Genomic DNA, 21,437 nt, shown 5'->3' on the forward strand with positions numbered 1-21,437 from the left:
TGTAGTCCCAGCTACTCCGGAGGCCGAGGCAGGAGAATCACTTGGACCTGGGAGGCGGAGGTTGCAGTGAGCCCAGATCGCATCACTGCACTGCAGCCTGGCTACCGAGCGAGACTCCATCTCAAAAAAAAAAAGAAAAAAAGAAGAGAGGTTTGTTTGGCTCATGATTCTGCAGACTGTACAAGAAGCATGTCACTAGTATCTATGTCTGATAGGGGACTCAGGAAGGTTCTACTCATGTTGAAGGGTGAAGGGGAAGCAGGCATGTCACACGGTGAGAAAGTGAGCTAGAGAGATGCCAGGCTCTTTTAAACAACCAGCCCAGCTCTCACGTGACGTAATAGAACAAGAACTCACTAATTACCAACGGGAAGGCACCAAACCATTGAGGAGGGATTTGTCCTCATTACCCAAACACTTCCCACCGGGCCTCACCTTGAACGCTGGAGATCAAATTTTAACATGGTATTTGGTGGGGACAAACCCTATCAGCAGCTGCTTTTAATATTTAAAAAAATATTTTGAGAGAGGGCCCACAGACCCTCTGAAAGAAGCAGACTGCTCCTGCAGGACCCGGGGGACACCCCAAATACTGTGAGTGCCCCAACTGCGGAAGTGGGAAAGGGAGACCCTCCTTTCCGGAACACACACCCCCTACTGGAGAAGCTGAAGGTCTGCTTCCGGGAGATGCTCCCGACTTCACCTGGAGCTGAGTCAAGTTAGAGAACCGGACCAAGCGAAATACAGGGGCAGAGGAGGCAGCAGGGAGGCCCTGGGAGCTCTTTGAATCCCCAGGTAGCCTATTCCTGCCTGGCACCACTGGGATTCATCAGGAGGGAGGCCAGAGGAGCAGGAGGTAAAACCCTACCGGGAGAAGGACTTCCCTAGCTGAATTTTGTAACAATTTGAGTGGGGCGAGAAGCCTCCTGGCCGGAACTTGGGGGAGGATGCGGATCTGGCTTGCAGACTTCACAGGTGGGGGAAGAACTAAAGCCCTTTTCTTTCACAGGTGGGAGGCGGAAAGCCTCGGGCAAGTTTTCAAGCCCGTCCTCTGTCTGGAAACAGACTCAGAGGTGTTGCAGGGGACACGGTGGGAGTGAGACCAGCCCTTCGGTGTGCGTGGGATCTGGGGGAGGCCTGTGACTGCCGGCTTTCCCCTGCTTCTCTGACAACCTGCATGACTCAGCAGAGGCAGCCATAATCCTGGAGAGCCCCGGTTTAAGATCTCCAGGTGAAGTAGATTTTTATTGTAAGTAACTCCTGTACTTTTTAAGTTGTGAGACATGCATTCAAGGTTGAATTCTGAAATCATGTCTGAATTAACTTCACTGGAGTCTTCTGTTGCCCTTATAGAGTAGGGAATTCTCATAGTTCTGCTAGTAATTGTTTTTTGAGGGGGCAGGTGTGGTCTAACAAGGAAAGGCTAGAGAGCAATTAGGACCAAGGGAAAGACCTTGGGCCATGGAAGGTTGAGTTCTCTGAAAGTTTTAAAAATATAAATATGTATTTTTACTCTAGAGATGCGGTCTCACTAAGTTGTCCAGGCTGGTCTCAAGTAATCCTCCTGCCTTAGCCTCCCAAAGTTCTGGGATTACAGGAATGAGCCACCACACCTGGCCTCACCTCAGAACGTTTTGAAAATTTTAGTTTTGTCTGTTTGCTTGTTCAATCATTCTGCATGACTGGATATGGTGAGGATCATGTAATTTGGGGGACAGAGGAAGAACTCTTGGATTTTTTTGGATGACTTTACTGGTGCGATGAGTTCCCTGGTCACTTGACAGGGCAAGTAGAATTCCTCAGGAGGGGAAAATTTGTTCTAAGAGAACAAACAGTTGCAGCTGTGGGCTTCTTACGTGGAAAAGCTTCTAGTCAATAAGTGAACATAAAAACAATGGCCAGGGCATATTAATAACACTGACTTAGGAAGTTGAATAAAATATCTTTGCCAATAGAGAAAGAGTCCTGCTAGAGGTGGCTCTCTTCCTCGTTCTACCTTTATAACTTTTCCAGGATTCTGTTGTTGGCAGATATTCCAAGTAAGGAGTGAAGTTTCCCCACAAATGATGATGAAGGCATTGAGTCAGTATTTTCCCATGATGAAAAATTTTGTGAAGACTGAACTTCAGGTCAGGGACGAAGGAGAGCCCAAGTAGCCTTCTCAGTGTCTTCAAAGCCTATCTTTGGACTTTTTGGTGGGTAAAACATCCACCTTGTTTTCAATTAGCCTTTTCATCTTCAGGGGCCTTTAACTGAGATATTTTAATGTCCTCAAATAGAGGATAAATTGGCAAACTGAGTAGGTTTAATATCTGGTCTGATTACAGTGGGACTGGGACAGATTTATAAACTGCTACTTAGCATACTTATCAGCTGAGCTTCCCCTTGCCTTAGGGGTCTATTGCCCATATAAGCTTCTATCTTGAGTATGGCCAGCTCTTGTAATAATAAGGCCTCTAGGAGGTTACCCACATTTCCCATTTTAAACTAGTAGTCACAAATTCCCTGGCTTTCCACAACAGGTCAAAGTCATGTAATACCCTAAAAACATATCTGTTATCTGTGTTGATGTTAACTCTTTGATTCTTAGCTAAAGTGTAGGTTCTTGTGAGAGCCACAAATTATTCTATCTGATATAATTTGCACTGGGTAAAGCCTCATATGTTATGGGACTGTGGATATATGCAATGGCATATTCAGCCTGGAAACCTCTTTCTGAAGTCAGAGGTATGAACTATCAACAAAGAAAATGAGATCTGGATCTATAAGAGGTACTTCAGAAAGATCAGGACGGGGAAAGGTTAGAGCTTAGGTGGCTGAAATACAGTCATGGTGGTTGTACTTCAGTTGGGAGAGAAATGGTAACAAGGTTAAGATTTTGGTAATGGTGAATAGTAATGTGAGAAGGAGCAAACAAAAGGATCTCATAAGAGGTAAGGTTAGAGGTTGAAAAACGTTGGGGGTTCGCAGTCAGGACAAAGATGTGAACCACTTGGGCACAGAAGTGTGCGAAGTATGACCTAGCACAAAATCAACTGTGGCTTGAATCAAATTTGCTGTTGCCATGACAACTCAGAAGCAAGGAAGGAAGGCTTGAGCTATAGGGCCTAGCAAGAAGGTAAAATATCCAATGGGCCTCAGGCTCCTTTTGTATTTCTGAGACAGGACATCTAAAGTATGTTCTCTCTCATGAATGAATAGGCAGAAGGGCAAGGAGTAGTTGGGGAGTCCCAAGCTGGGGGAAGAGGAAAGGGAGGTTTTTAAAAGGATCCAATACTGTTATAGAGGTTAATTCTCGTTCTAGGGGTTCAGACAAGGAATCCACATTCTACAATAGCCAACCAGTCTGAGAAAGTCCAGGAGTTGTCTCATTGTTTTAGATAAAGTGTAATTAAGGATGCTTTTCATACATCTGGAGACAAAGTTTTTCCCTTACAGGAGATGTCATGTTTTAGAGAGTGAAACTGAAAATAGGAAAACTAAGGATAGTGAAATTATATTTTGTCTCTTGAAAACAATGTCCCTTTTAAGTCAGATCATCCAAAAGGTATCGAGTATCTGCCAATAAATTATCAAATGTACTGGAGCAAAGAAGGTGGACATCTACGTATTGCATGACGATGCAATTACAAAGGAAAACCAAATCCTTTAAATTTGCATTTTTAAAAATATTAAACATTTAGGTTCAGGGGTACATATGCAGGTTTGTTACGTAGGTAAATTTTGTGTCATAGAGGTTTGGTGTACAGATTATTTTGTCACCCAGGTGATAAGCAGGTTTCTTGATAGGTAGTTTGTTTTGATCCCCACTCTCCTCCCACCCTCCACCCTCAAGTACGCCTCAGTGTCTGTTGTTCCCTTCCTTGTGTCCAGTTATAAGTTAAAACACGTAGTCTTTAGTTTTCTGTTCCTGCATTAGTTCGCTTAGGATAATGGCCTCCAGCCCCATCCATGTTGCTGCAAAGGACATGACCTTTTTTTTAATGGCTATGTAGTATTCCATGATGTATACGTACCACATTTTCTTTATCCAGTCTACCATTGATGGACATTTAGGTTGATTCCATGTCTTTACTGTTACGAATAGTGCTAGGTGAACATATGTGTCCACGTGTCTTTGGGGCAAAACAATTTATGTTCCTTTGGGTATATACCCAATAATGGGATTTCTGGGCTAAATGGTAGTCCTGTTTTAAGTACTTTGAGAAAATGCCAAACTGTTTTCCCTAGTGGCTGAACTAATTTACGCTCCCACCAGCAGTATATAAGCATTTCCTTTTCTGTGCAACTTCTCCAGCGGCTGTTATTTTTTGCGGTTTTATTAATAGCCGTTCTGACTGGTATGAGATGGTACCTCAGTGTGGTTTTGATTTGCATTTGTCTGATGATTAGTGATGTTGAACTTTTTTTCATACGCCTTTTGGCCCTATGTATGTCTTCTTTTGAAAAGTGTCTGCTCATGTCCTTTGTCCACTTTTTAATGGAGTTGTTTTTTGCGTGTTAATTTGTTTAAGTTCTTTATAGAGTCTGGATATTAGACTTTTGCCAGATGCATAGTTTGCTAGGCCGTATGTTTACTGGGTTAATAGTTTGTGGGGTTTTTTTCTGTATAGAAGCGCTTTAGTTTAATTAGGTCAGTTTGTTAATTTTTGTTTTTGTTGCAATTGCTTTTGGTTTCTTCATCATGAAATCTCTGCCAGGTCGTATGTCCAGAATGGTATTTTTTAGGTTATTTTCCAGGATTTTTATGGTTTTAGGTTTTACATTTAAGTATTTAATCCATCTTGAGTTGATTTTTGTATATGATGAAAGGAAGGAGTCCAGTTTCAGTCTTCTGCATATGGCTAGCCAGTTATCTCAGCACCATTTATTGAATATGGAATCCTTTCCTCACTGCTTTTGTTGACTTTGTCAAAGGTCAGATGGTGTTGGTGTGTGACTTTATTTCTTGGCTCTCTATTCTGTTCCATTGGTCTGTGTGTCTGTTTTTGTACCAGAATCATGTTGTTTTGGTTACTGTAGACTCATAATATAGTTTGAAATTAAGTAATGTGATGTCTCCAGCTTTGTACTTTTCGATTAGGGTTACTTTGGCTATTCGGGCTATTTTTTTGTTTCATATGAATTTTAGAATAGTTTTTTGTAATTATGTGAAAAATTTCATTGGTAGTTAGATAGGAATAGCATTAAATCTGTAAATTGCTTTGGGGAATATGGTCATTTTAGCAATATTGATTTTTCCTATCCGTGAGCATGGAATGTTTTTCCATTTGTGTCATCTTGAATTTCTTTCAGTAGCGTTTGTAATTCTCATTATAGAGATGTCTCACTGCCCTGGTTAAGTATATTCCTATGTATTTATTTTTTGTGTGAGGCTGTTGTGAGTGGGATTACATTCTTGATTTGACTCTCAGCTTGAATGTTGTTGGTGTATAAAAATGCTTCTGATTTTCATACATTGATTTTGTATTCTGAAACTTTGCTAAAGTTGTTTATCAGATCTAGGAGCCTTGAGGCAGAGACTATTGGGCTTTCTAGGTATAGAATCATATTATCTGCAAACAGGGATAGTTTGACTTCCTGTCTTCTTATTTGCATGTCTTTTATTTTTTTTCTGTTGCCTGATTGCTCTGGCTAGGACTACCAGAAGTATGTTGAATAGGAGTAGCGAGAGAGGGCATCCTTATCTTTTTCTGGTTCTCAAAAGGAATGCTTCCAACTTTTACCCATTCAGTATGATGTTGGCTGTAGGTTTGCATAGATGGCTCTTATTATTTTGTGTTACGTTCCTTCAGTGCCTAGTTGGTTGAGGTTTTTAACATGAAGGGATGTTGAATTTTATTGAAGAGCCTTTTCTGCATCTATTGAGATAATCGTGTGGTTTTTGTCTTTAGTTCCGTTTATGTGATGAATCACATTTATTGATTTGCATATATTGAACCAACCTTGCATCCCATGGATAAAGCCTACTTGATTGTGGTGGGTTAGCTTTTTGATGTGATGATGAATTTGGATTGCCAGTAATCTGTTGAAAATTTTTGGATCTGTGTTCATCAAGGATGTTGGTCTGAAGTTTTCCTTTTTTGTGTGTCTCTGCCAGGTTTTGGTATCAGAATGAGTCTGCCTTCAAACAATAAGTGAGGGAAGAGTCCCTCCTTCTCAACTTTTTGGAAAAGTTTCAGTAGGTACCAGATCTTCTTTAGACATCTGGTAGAATTTGGCTGTGAATCCATCTGGTCCAGAGCTTTTCCTGGTAGGTAGGGATTTTTTTTTAATTATTACTAATTCAATTTTGGGACAAGGATTTCAATTTCTTACTGGTTCAATATTGGGAGGTTGTATGTTTCTAGAAATTTTATCCATTTCTTGTAGGTTTCTTAGTTTGTGTGCACTGGTGCTTATAATAGTCCGTGAGGGTTCTTTTTCCTTTGTATTTCTTTGGAGTCAGTGGTAAAGTCATTTCTGACATTTCTGATTGTGTTTACTTAGATCTCTCTTCTTCTTTATTCGTCTAGTTAGTGGTCTACCAATCTTATTTATTTTTTCAAGGAAACAATTTATGATTTTGTTCTTTTGTATGGTTTCCCAAGTCTCAACTCAGTTCATCTCTGATTTTGGTTATTTCTTATCTTCTGCTAGCTTTGGGATTGGTTTGCTCTTGTTTTTCTAATTCCTCTAGGTGTGATATTAGGTGGTTAATTTGAGATCTTTCTAGCTTTTTGATGTGAGGATTTAACTTTCTGCTTAATACTGCTTTGGGTATGTTTCAGAGATTCTGATAAGTTCTTTGTTTTTATTAGTTTTGAAGAATTTCTTGATACCTGCCTTAATTTCCTTGTTTACCCAGAAGTCATTCAGGAGCAGGTTGTTTAATTTCCATATAATTGTATGGTTTTGTGCAATCTTCTTTGTATTGATTTCTATTTTTATTGCCCTCTTGTCCTGGAGTGTGATTGGTAAGATTCAGTTTTTCTGAATTTGCTGAAAACCATTTTTATGGCCGATTATGTAGCCAATTTTAGAGTGTGTGCCATGTACAGATAAGAAGAATGTATATTCTATTGTTTTGGGGTGGAGAGTTCTGGAGATGTTGTTAAGTCCATTTGGTCAAGTGTTGAGTTCAGGTCCCAAATATCATTCTTAGTTTTCTGCCTCAGTGATCTGTCTAACACTGTCAGTGGAGGTATCGAAGTCTTCCCCTATTATTGTGTGGTTTTCTAAGTCTCTTTGTAGCTCTCTAAGAACTTGTTTTATGAATCTAGGTATTCCTATGTTGGGTGCATATGTATTTAGGATAGTTAATTCTTCTCGTTAAATTAAATCTTTTACCTTCTTTGTCATTTTTGACTTGTTGGTTTAAAGTCCATTTTGTCTGAAATTAGAATAGCAACCCTGCCTTTTTTGTTTTACATTTGCTTGGTAGATTTTTCTCCATCCCTTTACTTTGAACCTGTGGGTGTCACTGCATGTGAGATGGGTCTCTTGAAGACAGCAAATAGTTGGGTCTAGTTTTTTAACTCGCTACTCTGTGTCTTTTAAGTGGGGCATTTTGCACCTTTATATTCAAGGTTAATATTGATATGTGCAGTTTGATACTGTTATTGTGATATCAGCCGGTTACTATGCAGACTTGATTGTGTAGTTGCTTTATGGTGTCAATGGTCTATGTACTTAATGTGTTTTTTTGTGGTGGCTGGCAACAGTCTTTTGTTTCCATAGTTAGCACTCCCTTGAGGACCTCTTGTAAGGCAGGTCTGGTGGTAATGAATTCCCTTGGCATTTGCTGTCTGAAAAGGATCTTATTTCTCCTTTGCTTATGAAGCTTAGTTTGGCTGGATATGAAATTTCTCGGTTGGAATGTCTTTTCATTAAGAATGCTGAATATATGCCCCCTGTGCCTTCTGGCTTGTAGGGTTTCTGCTGGAAGGACTGCTGTTAAGCTGATGTGGTTCCCTTTGTAGGTGACTTGCTCCTTCTCTCTAGCTGCCTTTAATATTTTTTCTCTCATGTTGACCTTGAAAAATCTGATGACTATGTGTCTTGGGGATGGTTGTCCTGTACAGTATCTCACAGGGGTTCTCTGTATTTTCTGAATTTGAATGTCAGTCTCTCTACCATGGTTGGGGAAATTCTCATGGACAATACCCTCAAATATGTTTACCAAGTTGCTTGCTTTCTCTACCTCTCTTTCAGGGACACCAGTAAGTCATAGATTTTGTCTCTTTACATACTCCTATATTGCTCAGAGGTTTAAAATTTTTTTTATTTAATAAAATAGAGATGGGGTCTCGCTATGTTGCCTAGGCTGGCCTTGAACTCCTGGGCTCAAGTGATCCTTCTACCTTGGCCTCCCAACGTGCTGGGATTACAGGTGTGAGCCACCATGCCCAGCCTTCTTGGAGATCTTGTTTATTCTTTTTTATTCTTTTTTTTATTTTTGTCTGACTGAGTTGATTCAAAGAACTGGTCTTCAAGCCCTGAGATTCTTTCCTCCACTTGGTTTATTCTGCTGTAAATACTTGAAATTGCATTATGCAATTCTTATACAGAGTTTTCAGCTTTATCAGCTCATTTTGGTTCTTTTTTTAAATGGTTATTTCATCTTTCATCTCTTGTATCATTTTATTGGATTCCTTAAATTCAATTGATTGGGTTTTTTGTTTGGTGGTGGTGGTGGTGGTTGTTGTTGTTTTTGGAGACAGAATCTTGCTCTGTCACCCAGGCTGGAGTGCAGTGGTGCAATCTCGGCTCACTGCAACCTCCGCCTCCCACATTCAAGCAATTCTCTGCCTCAGCCTCCCAAGTAGCTGGGATTACAGGCATCTGCCACCATTCCTGGTGTGTGTGTGTGTGTGTGTGTGTGTGTGTGTGTGTGTGTAGTAGAGACAGGGTTTCACTATCTTGGCCAGGCTGGTCTTGTGACCTTGTGATCCACCAACCTCAGCCTCCCAAAGTGCTGGGATTACAGGCCTGAGCTACCGTGCCTGGGCTTGATTGGGTTTTGACTTTCTAATGAATCTCAATGATCTTCATTCCTATCCAGACTCTGAATTCTGTATCTTTCATTTCAGTCATTTCAGCCTAGTTAAGAACCCTTGCCAAAGAACTAGTGTGGTCATTTGAAGGTGAGAAGACATTTTGGCTTTTTGAGTTGCCAAAGTTCTTGAGCTGGTTGATTCTCATTTGTGTGGGCTGATGTTCCTTTGATCTTTGAAGTTGCTTTCCTTTGCATGGGGTTTTTTGAGTTTATATTCTTCGATGCCCTTGAGGGTTTGAGTGTGGTACAACATGGGTTCAGTCAACTGTCTTTGTTTAAAGTATTTCAGGGGGCCAAGCCTCAGTTTATCACTCCTGGTCTGCATGTTCTAACCCTGGGGGGCTAGTATTGGGCTCTAGCTTTGTTCTCTGGCCCTTCGAGGTTAGAAACTTGCTGCAATAAGAGGGGCTAAGGTGTTCCTGGCTCACTGGCCATAACACTCTGCTGGTTGGGTGCTGGCCAAAGTGCTTTGTTGTGGCAGTGGCAGTGGGATCCGTGCTTACATGTGTGTGCCAGCAGCCACAGCAGCACAGTAGGGTGCCTGCACATCAGCAGTGGCAGGGCACCAGTGGGGGTGGGGTGGCAGCATTCATGCATGCACTAGCGCTGGTGGTGATGGCATGGTGGGATATGCATGCGTCAGTGGGAACCAGGCACTAGTGGGGGTGGGGTGGTGGTGTCTATATGCGTGCTTGTGCTGGTGGTGATGGGGTAGCAGGGTGTGCACACATGTGCTGGCAGGGGAGGGGAGGTGAGATCTGCCCACACTCATACTGACAAAGCTGTGAGCATGGGCTGTGGGTGACTGTGTGCTGGAAAAGTGGTGGGAGGAGGCTGCAGTGGGGAGAGGCTGCAAGGTGGTTGATTGCACAACAGTGGAAACTGGCCTGCTGGAGCCAGAGTTAGGCATGGTGAGCAGGTGAAGGAATTATTATGACGGCCCTTGGAAGCACCCTGGTTTGGCATCTGAGTCTGTGCTGCAAGCAGATGCAGCAGGGCTGGAGCCCCAGGAGAGGCTGGTAAACAGGGGCACACTCAGATCAAACTGGTCCCATTCCATGGGCAAGACCTCCCTTCTCTGTCTAGGTCTGGCAGCCACCAAAGGCCAAAGCCACCTAGAGGAGCTTTCTTCCAGCTTCAGTTCAGGGTCTGCGTCTTCCCTCTGTCCACTCTCAATGCCTTCCCTCTGAAGGTCTGCTTGGAGTATGGCAGTCTTCCCTATGGTCTGGTGTCTCAGTGAGTGATGCTCTTCCTGGCTGCATCTAGTCAGCCATCATTGGCTCCTCTCTAAATTTGCATTTAATGTCTGGGAAAAAATAGGCTGTTAATCTTTGAGGCATAATAGTCCAAGTGTACCGCTAATTTCCCCAGGTGTGAAAATGAATAAATTTAAAAGCTGTTGGAACCCCAAAGAACACTTTTAAGCCTTGATAGAGATGTGACTGTGATCTGAGTTATGTATGGTCTCAGCTTCTGTTCTCAGATTATAATCATAGGTTAACTCGTTTTCTTATTTTTCTTGATCTGTTCAATGACTAGAGAGAATTAAATGATGGCAGGGACAAAAGCTTCCTGCCTTCTTAATTAATGACTGTTGTTGTAGATTAACTCCCCTTTATTGTCCTGATTTGCTTAGACAAGATGACAGAAAACCCACGATTATTACAGCCTTTGCAAAAAAAAATGTTAAATGTACTCTTACTCATAAGAAACACTGCATATAACTAATCAGATTTCTGTGACTATCTATGTGCAAACCCTGTATGAATAATGCAACCCTGCTAAAAACTCCTCTGTCTCTGCCTATCTAAACGAAATCTTAACTTCCCTGCTTCGGATTGCTGACTCTATTCCTTTGGAGTTGGGATTTCTGGGTGGGCCATCCTCACATTCTGTGTGTGAATGAACTCTCTTTAAACTAGACTCTGACTCTTTTAATTATTTTAGGTTGACATTTGATAACCTGCAGATGGGACCTGAAGTAAGCCTTCTGCAATCTTCACTGCTTTGCTGACATCTGGAGCTTTGGTACAGCACAAGTGGCTTTTACTTCTTTGACTTCATTGGACCTGGAGAGGGTCTCTGGCCTGGCTTCTCTCAGATTTTGAATCTCTCTGGTTTTGGCTGAGATTCAGACTTTATTGAAGCATCCTGATTCCACGCTCAAGAAAACTGAAATTGAAGCTTTACTTTTAAAAGTAGGAGTTTCATTTGTTATTTCTCTAGAGATTCTGTGGTTTGCAGATTTGTGCTTTCACATTCCTTTGAGGATAAGGTTTTGTTTTATTCCCAAAACTTTTCAGCCTTTTCCCTTGTTCAACTTTGGTGAAGGAGAAAGTGTTTCTCTTTGAAAAGAGGAAGCAAATCTTTGTGGCTCAAATTAAATTTGTGATTTTATATTTTCTAGGTTCTGAAGCTTGGTTCAGCTGACATAGCTAAACTCTTCTTGAGTGACCAGAATTTCCATTTCCACGGTCTTCGGTCACTTAAGAGAACTCAAATTATGGACTATTGTCCCTCCAAAATCAAGTCTTTCTCCCTAAGGAGAGATCCACCTTTAGAAACTCCAGCTGCACTCATGTATGAAACTTATGGTGCCACTTCTTGTCATTATTTAGAAAATGGTTGCACATAACTCATGAAAAACTAAAATTGCAATGGCCAAAGTGGGATACCTCAACTAATTTACCTGTGTGCTCAATAAGAAAAAGCTGGTTCTAGGATAAAACAGAATAGTTAGGAGAGTTCTTTTCAATGGTATTTAAAACATCCAAAAGAGATTTTAATAGAGTTACTTCTTTACAAAAGGAGAATAAAAAGTTACCTAAAACAATTTCCAAATTTAAAAAGACAGCTGAAATTTCTCCTCCTCCTCCCTCACCTCCTCCTTCTCTTTGTCCTTTATTACCTGGGCTACTTTACCTAGAACGACCTCTTCTTTCTCCTCCCCCTGCTTCTGCTCTGGTTCCATCCCTGGAACAGCCAGTGTCTGGTAGGGATTAACCTGCCCTAGTGTATCAGTCACGGTAGAACTTAAAGGTAGAATTAAGGAATTTCCTGATCCTCACTAGGACCCTGTGAGTCCTAGTCTTCTGGTTTTGCCAGAAAAATCGCAATTAAATATTTGAGCTTATGACCCTGGCTCTATTTTAAGATGAATAAAAATTACTTTAAATGGAGAACTAACACAAACTCTTATTAACAGACCTGGAATCACCTTATCTGTAATAAAGTCCACCTTATTACAAGGTCCCATTCCTTGAAGTAAACAAACAATTCAATCTGTAGTTGTCACAAATACTCTAAGAGACTTCTTAGAATTATTTAATACCTACATTTCTTTCTCCCCAAGAGGAAAATGTATTTAGAATTAGATGATAAAACTGAATTATTGGACATACTTTTGTCAACAATCCATATTGACATGGAAGACACTAAATTATTGAGTAGTAAAAAATTATAAAACCCACTAAATGTAGTACCTAATCAATCATGGTTAAAGTCTTCCACTGATTTTGGAAAATTTATCTTGCCTACCCCAATCAAAGTTCAATAGATTCATCAAAACCCCTTCCAAACCTTAAACAATACCCTCTAAGAACTGAAGCCCTAAAAGGTATAAAGCCTATAGTTTCAGATTATTTAAGAATAGGACTTGATTATTCCCTGTAACAGCCAATGTAATACTCCAGTCCTTCCTGTAAGGAAATCAAACGATAGAGGATGGAGGTTTGTACAGAATCTGACAGCAATTAAAAACATAGTCACTCTTTGACATCCAGAAGGGCCAAACTTCCATATGTTGTTGACTGACATCCCAACTGAACCTGAGTTCTTTTCTTTTTACTTTGAGACAGGGCCTTACTCTGTTGCCCAGGCTGGAGTGCAGTGTGATTATAGCTCACTGAGGCCTCAATCTCCTGGGCTCAAGCAGTTCTCCCGCCTCGGCCTCCTGTATAGCTGGGACTACAGGTGCGCACCACAACACTTGGCTACTTTTTGTATATTTTGTAGAGATGGGGTTATCCCCCTTGTTACCCAGGCTGGTCTTGAACTCCTGGGCTCAAGCCATCCACCTGCCTCGGCTTCCCAAATTGCTGGGACTACAGGCATGAGCCACCTCGCCGGCTGAAGCTGAGTTCTTTACTGTAATAGACTTATGTAGTACATTCTTTAATATTTCTGTAGATAAAAATAATCAATTTCTCTTCACCTTCACTTGGGAAGGAAGACAATACACATGAATAGTCATGCCTCAGGGATGAACTGAGAGCCCAGCTTACTTTTCACAAATATTAAAAGCAGATCTCCCAGATATTGACTTCTTGAAAATTCATTTTAATAAAATACACAGGCAATTTACTCCTCTGCTCAGAGGATAAGCAATTATTTCTTAAAAATGGGATTCACTTGTTACAACAATTAGACTCAAAGGGACACAAAGCTTCTAAAGAAAAACACCGCCTGTAATCCCAGCACTTTGGGAGGCCGAGGCGGGTGGATCATGAGGTCAGGAGATCGAGACCATCCTGGCTAACAAGGTGAAACCCCGTCTCTACTAAAAATACAAAAAAAAAATTAGCCGGGCGCGGTGGCGGGCGCCTGTAGTCCCAGCTACTCGGGAGGCTGAGGCAGGAGAATGGCGTGAACCCGGGAAGCGGAGCTTGCAGTGAGCCGAGATTGCGCCACTGCAGTCCGCAGTCCGGCCTGGGCGACAGAGCGAGACTCCGTCTCAAAAAAAAAAAAAAAAAAAAAAAAAAAAAAAAAAAAAAAAAAGAAAAACACCAATCCTGTCAAAAACAAGTGACGTGCTTAGGCCACCTAATATTTAAGGAAGGACTTTCTATTAGTCCATACCGACTGAAAGGAGTTTTAGCTCTTCTGCCATGAAGAACCAAGAAACAGCTGGGAGAGTTCTGGGGGCTGGCAAGACATTTAAAAACTTGGATCCCAAACTTTTCTTTAAAAGCCTGCCCCTTGGCCGGACACAGTGGCTCAGGCATGAGGCCTGTAATCCCAGCACTTTGGGAGGCTGAGGCAGGTGGATCACCTGAGGTCGGGAGTTCGAGACCAGCCTGGCCAACATGGTGAAACCCTGCCTCTACTAAAAATACAAAAAAAATAGCTGAGTGTGGTGGCGGGAGCCTGTAATCCCAGCTACTTGGGAGGCTGGGGCAGGAGAATCGCTTGAACCCGGGAGGCAGAGGTTGCAGTGAGCCAAGGTCGCGCCAGTGCACTCAAGCCTGGGCAAAAAGAATAAGACTCCATCTAAATGAATGAATGAATGAATGCCTGGCCCTTACATGCTTCTTTTAAACAGGACATTCCAGACCCTCTTGTTTGGACAGAAGAAAATCAAGAAATGTCAGAAATGATCAAAAATGACTTTACTAATGCCCAAGCTTTGGTGCATGCAGATTATAATCTTCTATTTTCAGTATTTGTACATGAAAGTGATGGAAAGATTTTAAGGGTCCTGACTAAAAAACATGGAGCCCAAAGAGACCTGTGGGGTATTGTAGCCAACAGTTAGACTCTGTAATAAGAGGATTTCCATCTTCCATGAGAGCCGTAAAGCCCCTGCTTTGTTAGTTGAAGCAACTGACGAAATTCTCATGGTGACAGCCCTTAGTGGTTTTGTTTCTCATTCTTGTGAAAGCATTTGCTAAACTCGCGTCATACTCAATATTATTCAGTTAGTAGACTAGTCTCATACGAAGTTTTCTTTCTTTCAGCTTCTCATATCAACATCTCTAGATGTAATAACCTAAATCCTACAACTCTTCTGTCTCCATTTCCAGATAAAACACTGCACTATTGCATAACCCTAACTGATCACTGATCAACTTCTTTCTCCCAGGACTGACCTCAAAGAGACCCCCCTTACTACTGCCAATGGTGTTTGGTTTACAAATGGATCTTACTTAAAGGATAAATCTGGGACTTACCACTCAGGTTATACAATAGTATCTTTAACTGGGGGGAAAAAAAGAAGGAGGAGAAGAAGAAGAGGAAAGTGTTAAGCTTCTAGGCACCACCTGAGCTCAACAAACAGAATTAATTACATTAGTCAGGACTTGTCAATTGGCAAGAGGAATAACTGCTAATATTAATATAGAGAGTAGATATGTTTTTAGAGTAGCTCATGATTTTGAAACACTATGGAAACACAGGATTTTTAACTTCTTCTGGTCAGTCCTTAAAAAGTGGCCACCTCATTTCATGATTTTTGAAAGCTATATTATTACCACAGTCACTGTTTATAATTAAAATTCCAGGCCATTTCAAATCAGATATCCCAGAAAGCAAAGAAAATTAGCTAGCTGATAAGGTAGCAAAAAGAGTGGCTCTAAACAAAAACACTCTGTATTAACTCTTAAACACCTGAATTTGATATAAAATTAGCTCAATCCAGAGCTCCAAAATCAGAATACAAAATCACACTTTGTGCTTGAATAAACTCCCTTTAAATTAGACTCTGATTCTTTTGATTATTTTAGGTTGACGCAGGTGAAGGCAAATAGATGCTGTGATTCAGGGCAGAGGAATTTACTGGAGAAGGTGGAAACATGAGTCAACCGTGAAGTAATTGGTGTCAGGGAGTATTGAAATGAGGATGGTTTTAGGGTTAGAAACTAAAGGGAATCCAGGCTTCATTAGTTTGTTTATGGCTTGCAGGTATTGGACTATTTAATATTCTTCCCATTAAGCTTTTGAATAGGCTTTATTTATTTTTCTGAGACGGAGTCTCGCTCTGTCGCCCAGGCTGGAATGCAGTGGCACAATCTTAGCTCACTGCAGCCTCCACCTGCTGGGTTCAAGTGATTCTCCTACCTCAGCCTCCCGAGTAGCTGGGACTACAGGCGCACACCACCATGCCCAGCTAATTTTTGTATTTTTAGTAGAGACAGGGTTTCACCATGTTGGCCAGGATGGTCTCGATCTCTTGACTTTGTGATCTGCCTGCCTCGGCCTCCCAAAGTGCTGGAATTACAGGTGTGAGCCACGGTGCCCGGCCAATAGGCTTTATTTTTTAGAACAGCATTTGATTTACAGAAAAATTGAGTATATAGCACAGAGAATTCCCACATATCCCTGTTCCTCTTTACACAGTTTCGCCTATTATTAGCATCTTGCTTTAGTGTTGTTACAGTTCATATACTTTACATTGTTAAATATAGTCTATTTAAAGACTATAGTTTATATTAGTTCACTCTTGGTATTGTATGGTTCTAAGGGTTTTGACAAACTCATAATGATTTCTCCGTTACAAGATCATGCAGAATAGTTTTACCTCCTAACACTGTCTATGTTCTACCTATTCATTCCTCTCCAGCTCTCTCCAAGCCTCTGCCAACTGCTGATCTTTTTACTGTCTCTATAGTTTTGTCTTGTCTAGAATGCCATCAGTGTGAAGTTCCTCCATGTCTTACTTTTTTCTTAAACTCAGTGGCAAGAAGCTCCATGTCTTTTAATTGTGTGATAGCTCATTTTAAAAGTTGCTGAATCGTATTCCATCGAATGACTGTACTACAGTTTATTCACTCACCTATTGAAGGATATCTTGGTTGCTTCCAGTTGTTGACAATTTTGAATAAAACCGCTATAAACATTTATGTGCAGGTTTTTGTGCTGAAATAAGTAGTTAAATATCTAGGAGTACAACTGCTGGATCAGATGGTAAAGCTATATATTTAGTTTGTGGGAAACTTCCAAATTTTCCAAAGCCACTCTGCCATCGTGCATTCCCACCAGCAATAAATGAAAGTTCCTATTGCTCTTCATCCTTGTCAGCATTTGGTATTGACACTGGTATCTATTGTAGTTTGTTTATTTATTTAATTTTTAGTGTTTGAGACAGGGTCTTGCTCTGTTGCTCAGGCTGGAGTGCAGTGGCACAATCATGGCTCACTGCAGCTTCCACCTCCTGGGCTCAAGCAATCCTCCTGCCTCAACCTCCAGAGTAGCTGGACCTACAGACACATGACAACACACATGGAAAATTTTTAAATTTGTTTTGCAGAGATGGGGTCTTGTTGCCCGGGCTTCTTGACCTCCTGGTCTCAAGTAATCCTCCCACCTCGGCCTCCCAAAGTGTTGTGACTACAGGCATGAGCTTCTGCACCTGGCTTCACTGTAGTTTTAATTTGCAATTTCCTAATGGCATATGACTTGAGCATCTTTTCCTATACTCATTTGCCGTATGTCTACCTTCTTTCATGAGATATCTGTTCAGATCTTTTGCCCTTTTTTTTTTGGTTTTTTGTTTTGAGACAGAGTCTCGCTCTGTCGCCGAGGCTGGAGTGCAGTGGCACTGTGTCAGCTCACTGCAACCTGCGTCTCCTGGGTTCAAGCAATTCTCCTGCCTCAGCCTCCTGAATAGCTGGGATTACAGGTGCCCATCACCATGCCCAGCTAGTTTTTATATTTTTAGTAGAGACGGGGTTTCACCATGTTGGCCAGGCTGGTCTTGAACTCCTGACCTCAGGTGATCCGCCCGCCTTGGCCTCCCAAAGTGCTGGGATTACAGGCGTGAGCCACCGTGCACGGCCTCTTTTGCCCATTTTTAAGTTTTTATTCTTAATTGTGACAAAATATACATAAAATTTACCATCTTAATCATTTGTAAGTGTACAGCTCAGTAGTGTTAAATACATTCACATTGTTGGCAGTCATTCTCCAGAACTCTTCGTCTTGCAAAACTGAAACTATTCCCATTAAACAACTCCCTATTCTGCAACTTGCCCTCCTCCCCCTAGTTCCCAGCAACCACCATTTGTTATGGGAAAAAGCCAGAACAGTATAGAAGCAAGTTCCCCCATACTGGGAAGGAGCCAAGACACCAAAGAATGACTTAGATAAGTTCAGTTTGAGGAGTAGATGAGTTTATTGGGACTTACCTACAGGGTACTCCTGGGCAGCAGCAAGGCAGCAGGACAACATGGAGGTCTGCTCTGCCACCTGTCTGCTTTTCATTTATGATCTATTTATTTTTACTTTAAAATAATTTTATTTTTTTGAGACGGAGTCTCGCTCTGTAGCCCAGGCTGGAGTATGGTGGCACTATCTCGGCTCACTGCAAGCTCCGCCTCCCAGGTTCATGCCATTCTCCTGCCTCAGCCTCCCCAGTAGCTGGGATTACAGGCGCCTGCCACCACACCTGGCTAATTTTTTTTGTATTTTTAGTAGAGACGGGGTTTCACCGTGTTAGCCAGGATGGTCTCGATCTCCTGACCTTGTGATCGACCCGCCTTGGCCTCCCAAAGTGCTGGGACTACAGGCGTGAGCCACCACGCCTGGCCAACTTTAAAATAATTTTGTATTAATTTTCGTGGGTGCGTAGTAGATATATACCTACTCATATACCTCATAGTAGGTGTATGGGGTATATGAGATGTTTTGATATTGGCATGTAATACATAATAAACACATCATGGAAAATGAGGTATTCATCCCCTCAAGCATTTATTCTTTGTGTTATAAACAATCCAGTTATGCTCTTAGTTATTTTAAATTTATTTATATATATTTATACATTTATTTAATGTGTAAATATTATTGACTATAGTCACCTTTCTAAGCTGCTTTTTTTTTTTTTTTTTTTTTTTTTTTTGGGAGACGGAGTCTCCTCGCTCTGTCGCCCAGGCTGGAGTACAGTGGCCCGATCTCGGCTCACTGCAAGCTCCGCCTCCCAGGTTCACGCCATTCTCCTGCCTCAGCCTCCCGAGTAGCTGGGACTACAGGCACCCGCCACCTCGCCCAGCTAATTTTTTGTATTTTTAGTAGAGACGGGGTTTCACCGTATTAGCCAGGATGGTCTGGATCTCCTGACCTCGTGATCCGCCCACCTTGGCCTCCCAAAGTGCTGGGATTACAGGCATGAGCCACCGCGCCCGGCCTCTAAGCTGCTTTTAGGCTAATTTTCTGGCTCTTTTCCTACTGTGTGTGCGCAATGGGACTGTTTTCCTTGGTATGCTCTCAGATATACTCTGGGATGTTTCGGTTCTCAGGGATACCTGCTCCTTGGGTGGGCCACTGACTCACTGCCTAGCTTTCAGGGTTCAGGCAGCAGACATAGATCCTTAAGTAATCTGGTGGGTGACTCATCACACTACACTCAGCCATTTCATTTTCTTATAGCAGTGTCTAATCTTAGGTGTTGTACATGGAAAACAAAGGCGTTACAGGAACTGCAAATAGGGATGCGGAACCTTTTGTCAAGGAATCCTTGAATAATAAACAGATCTGAGACCTTCACTTGCTTCAGATTTTGAAGGAAACTGGGATAGTCCATGGAGGGGGAATGGTGGAGTCTATTTCTACTTTTAAGGGCCCTACTTCCCCAATATGTCTGTTGATCCTGTAGCCAAAGAAACTGATGGATGTGAGTGAGCATGTTCTGAGTGAGGGATGCCAAGGGCTTGGGGAATTATGGGGGGAGCAAGGAAACGGGTGATCTATCAGAGCTGTTGGAGGATAAAGGCCAGGGGGAAGGAGTTCCAGAACTTCAGGAATTAGTACGTCGGATAAACAAAAATATTAACATTCCAAATAGAAAGTAAATCCCTGCTAATAGATTAACAGGGATTGTGAAATTTAACAAAAAGCTGTGTTGGGCATGATGGAGTCCAAGAGACACCAAAAGGGGCTTAGAAAGAGGCAAATCATCCACCCCCACTACTGAGGCATTATGGTAAGGAATTGTGAGGGTTAAGGGTAGAGTAGGTGGTTCTAGTATCTATTAGAAAGGTCATAGGGTGCTCACTGACTGGGATTATTATTTCTCCCTGTGTGTTCAAGGGTATCAGGGGGTGCACAAGAGCAGATTCCTCAAAGGGGAGTCACTGGGATGCTGACGTTTTTCTTTTTGGACCTTGAGATAATTACAGGTGCTCCAGACTACTCATGATCGTAGGGATGTCGAGGTGACTTCAAGGCCTTGGGGTGATTCCCCATGAGTTGTTTCAGTTGGAGATCCATGAGTTTGCATTTTTCAGATTATTTAGATGCCTGTACATCTTTTGGGTTTCTGCTAAAACATGGATCTTAAAGAGAGGGGCATTTTGGCAGTGGTACCTTTGGCCAGTTACTTAAGTGGAATTTCATTCTCTCTTGGCTTCCTTCACAGATGATGTATGAAAGCATGAAATTCAAAGAGACAAAGGGAAATTGTGTAAAAAGCAGATCAGCCCTCTGCTTTACTCTTACCTTCTAGGTCCACAAATAGGTATAACTTGAATTAGGACAGGTGGAGAGGAGCATATAATTAATACGATGTTAATTAGTATGAGTAAACTCTCTGAGTTTAGTATGGAGCTCATTAACAAAACTGGTAACTAAAGCAGATGCCGTTTAGAGTTAAACCTGGGTAATCTTTCCAGTTGTTTTCTAAGTGGTATTCATAGACAGAGACTAATTCATCTCTTTGTTGTCGGTACTCTTAAGTCTTTGATGAGTTGATTTTAGTTGAGAAGGCTGTGGAAATAGAATCTGAAAGCTTTTCTCTGATTTCTCCATCTGTGATAGCCCCTAGGTGTTTTGAGATTTAACTGTAGGTCTTCATTAATTTTGGTACTCTCAAACCCTAGGGAGGCATCTCTAGGTCCTATAAGAAGTTTGAATAATTAGTAAAGATCTTAAAGCTCTAGAGAAGATGCCCCTAAGATTGACTAACTTGTGTAAAAAATTTCTCCCTTCATGGCCGGGCACAGTGGCTCATGCCTGTAATCCCAGCACTTTGGAAGGCCGAGGTGGGTGGATCACTTGGGGTCAGGAGTTTGAGACCAGCCTGGCCAACCTGGTGAAACCCTGTCTCTACTAAAAATATAAAAATTAGCCAGGCATGGTGGCATGTACCTGAAATCCCAGCTACTCAGGAGGCTGAGGCACGAGAATTGCTTGAACCTGGGAGGCAGAGTTTGCAGTGAGCCGAGGTCATGCCACTACACTCCAGCCTGGGCAACAGAGCAAGACTCCATCTCCAAAAAAAAAAAAAAAAAAAAAAAAAAAAAAAAAAAAAAAAAAACAAGAAAGAAAATTTCTCCCTTCATTGTATGTAGTTTCATTTTCAAAACTACAGTTTCAAAAGGCCACAACATGACAACCATTACAATTGATGACCCCGAGGTGGTCCATTTTGTGCACTGGTCTTCTTCATCTTTAGTTACAAGCTCAGCTTCCTCTCTAAGTCTTGAGGTATCCTTGTATGTAATGATGATATCATTTGTCGAATGCTTATTAAATTGTATAGACTGTGTTAAGAGCAAGTTTGCACAGTAACCCTTTTAATCCTCAAGTATCTCTATGATGTAGGTTTTAGTATTTTGATTTTATAGATAAGGACATAGAGGCTGTATCCTCAGTAATATGTCATGGGTCACACAGCAAGTTAGGGGCATGG

At 41.6% G+C, this 21,437-nt stretch overlaps 1 pseudogene across 1 annotated transcript in view, besides 1 other annotated feature; it reads left to right on the plus strand.

Annotated features, from left to right (window-relative positions):
• The first annotated feature begins 371 nt into the window (after positions 1-371).
• Positions 372-21,437, plus strand: part of ALOX12P2 (arachidonate 12-lipoxygenase pseudogene 2) — a 46,774-nt pseudogene continuing 25,708 nt past the window's right edge. Inside the window, exons 1-2 of the transcript NR_002710.2 lie at positions 372-856; positions 1,010-1,231. The product of NR_002710.2 is annotated as an arachidonate 12-lipoxygenase pseudogene 2, transcript variant 1 (transcript). The remainder of the gene's footprint in view (positions 857-1,009; positions 1,232-21,437) is intronic.
• Positions 574-1,773: an enhancer, noted in NCBI's record as "MED14-independent group 3 enhancer chr17:6757097-6758296 (GRCh37/hg19 assembly coordinates)". NCBI's record gives its function as "activates an origin of replication core promoter dependent on BRD2, BRD4, P300/CBP and CDK7 cofactors, and independent of MED14, by STARR-seq in HCT116 cells {active_cell/tissue: HCT116}" and the evidence as "EXISTENCE:reporter gene assay evidence [ECO:0000049][PMID:35650434]".

This window comes from Homo sapiens, chromosome 17 (genome assembly GCF_000001405.40).
Source record: "Homo sapiens chromosome 17, GRCh38.p14 Primary Assembly".
NCBI classification, from domain to species: Eukaryota; Metazoa; Chordata; class Mammalia; order Primates; family Hominidae; genus Homo; species Homo sapiens.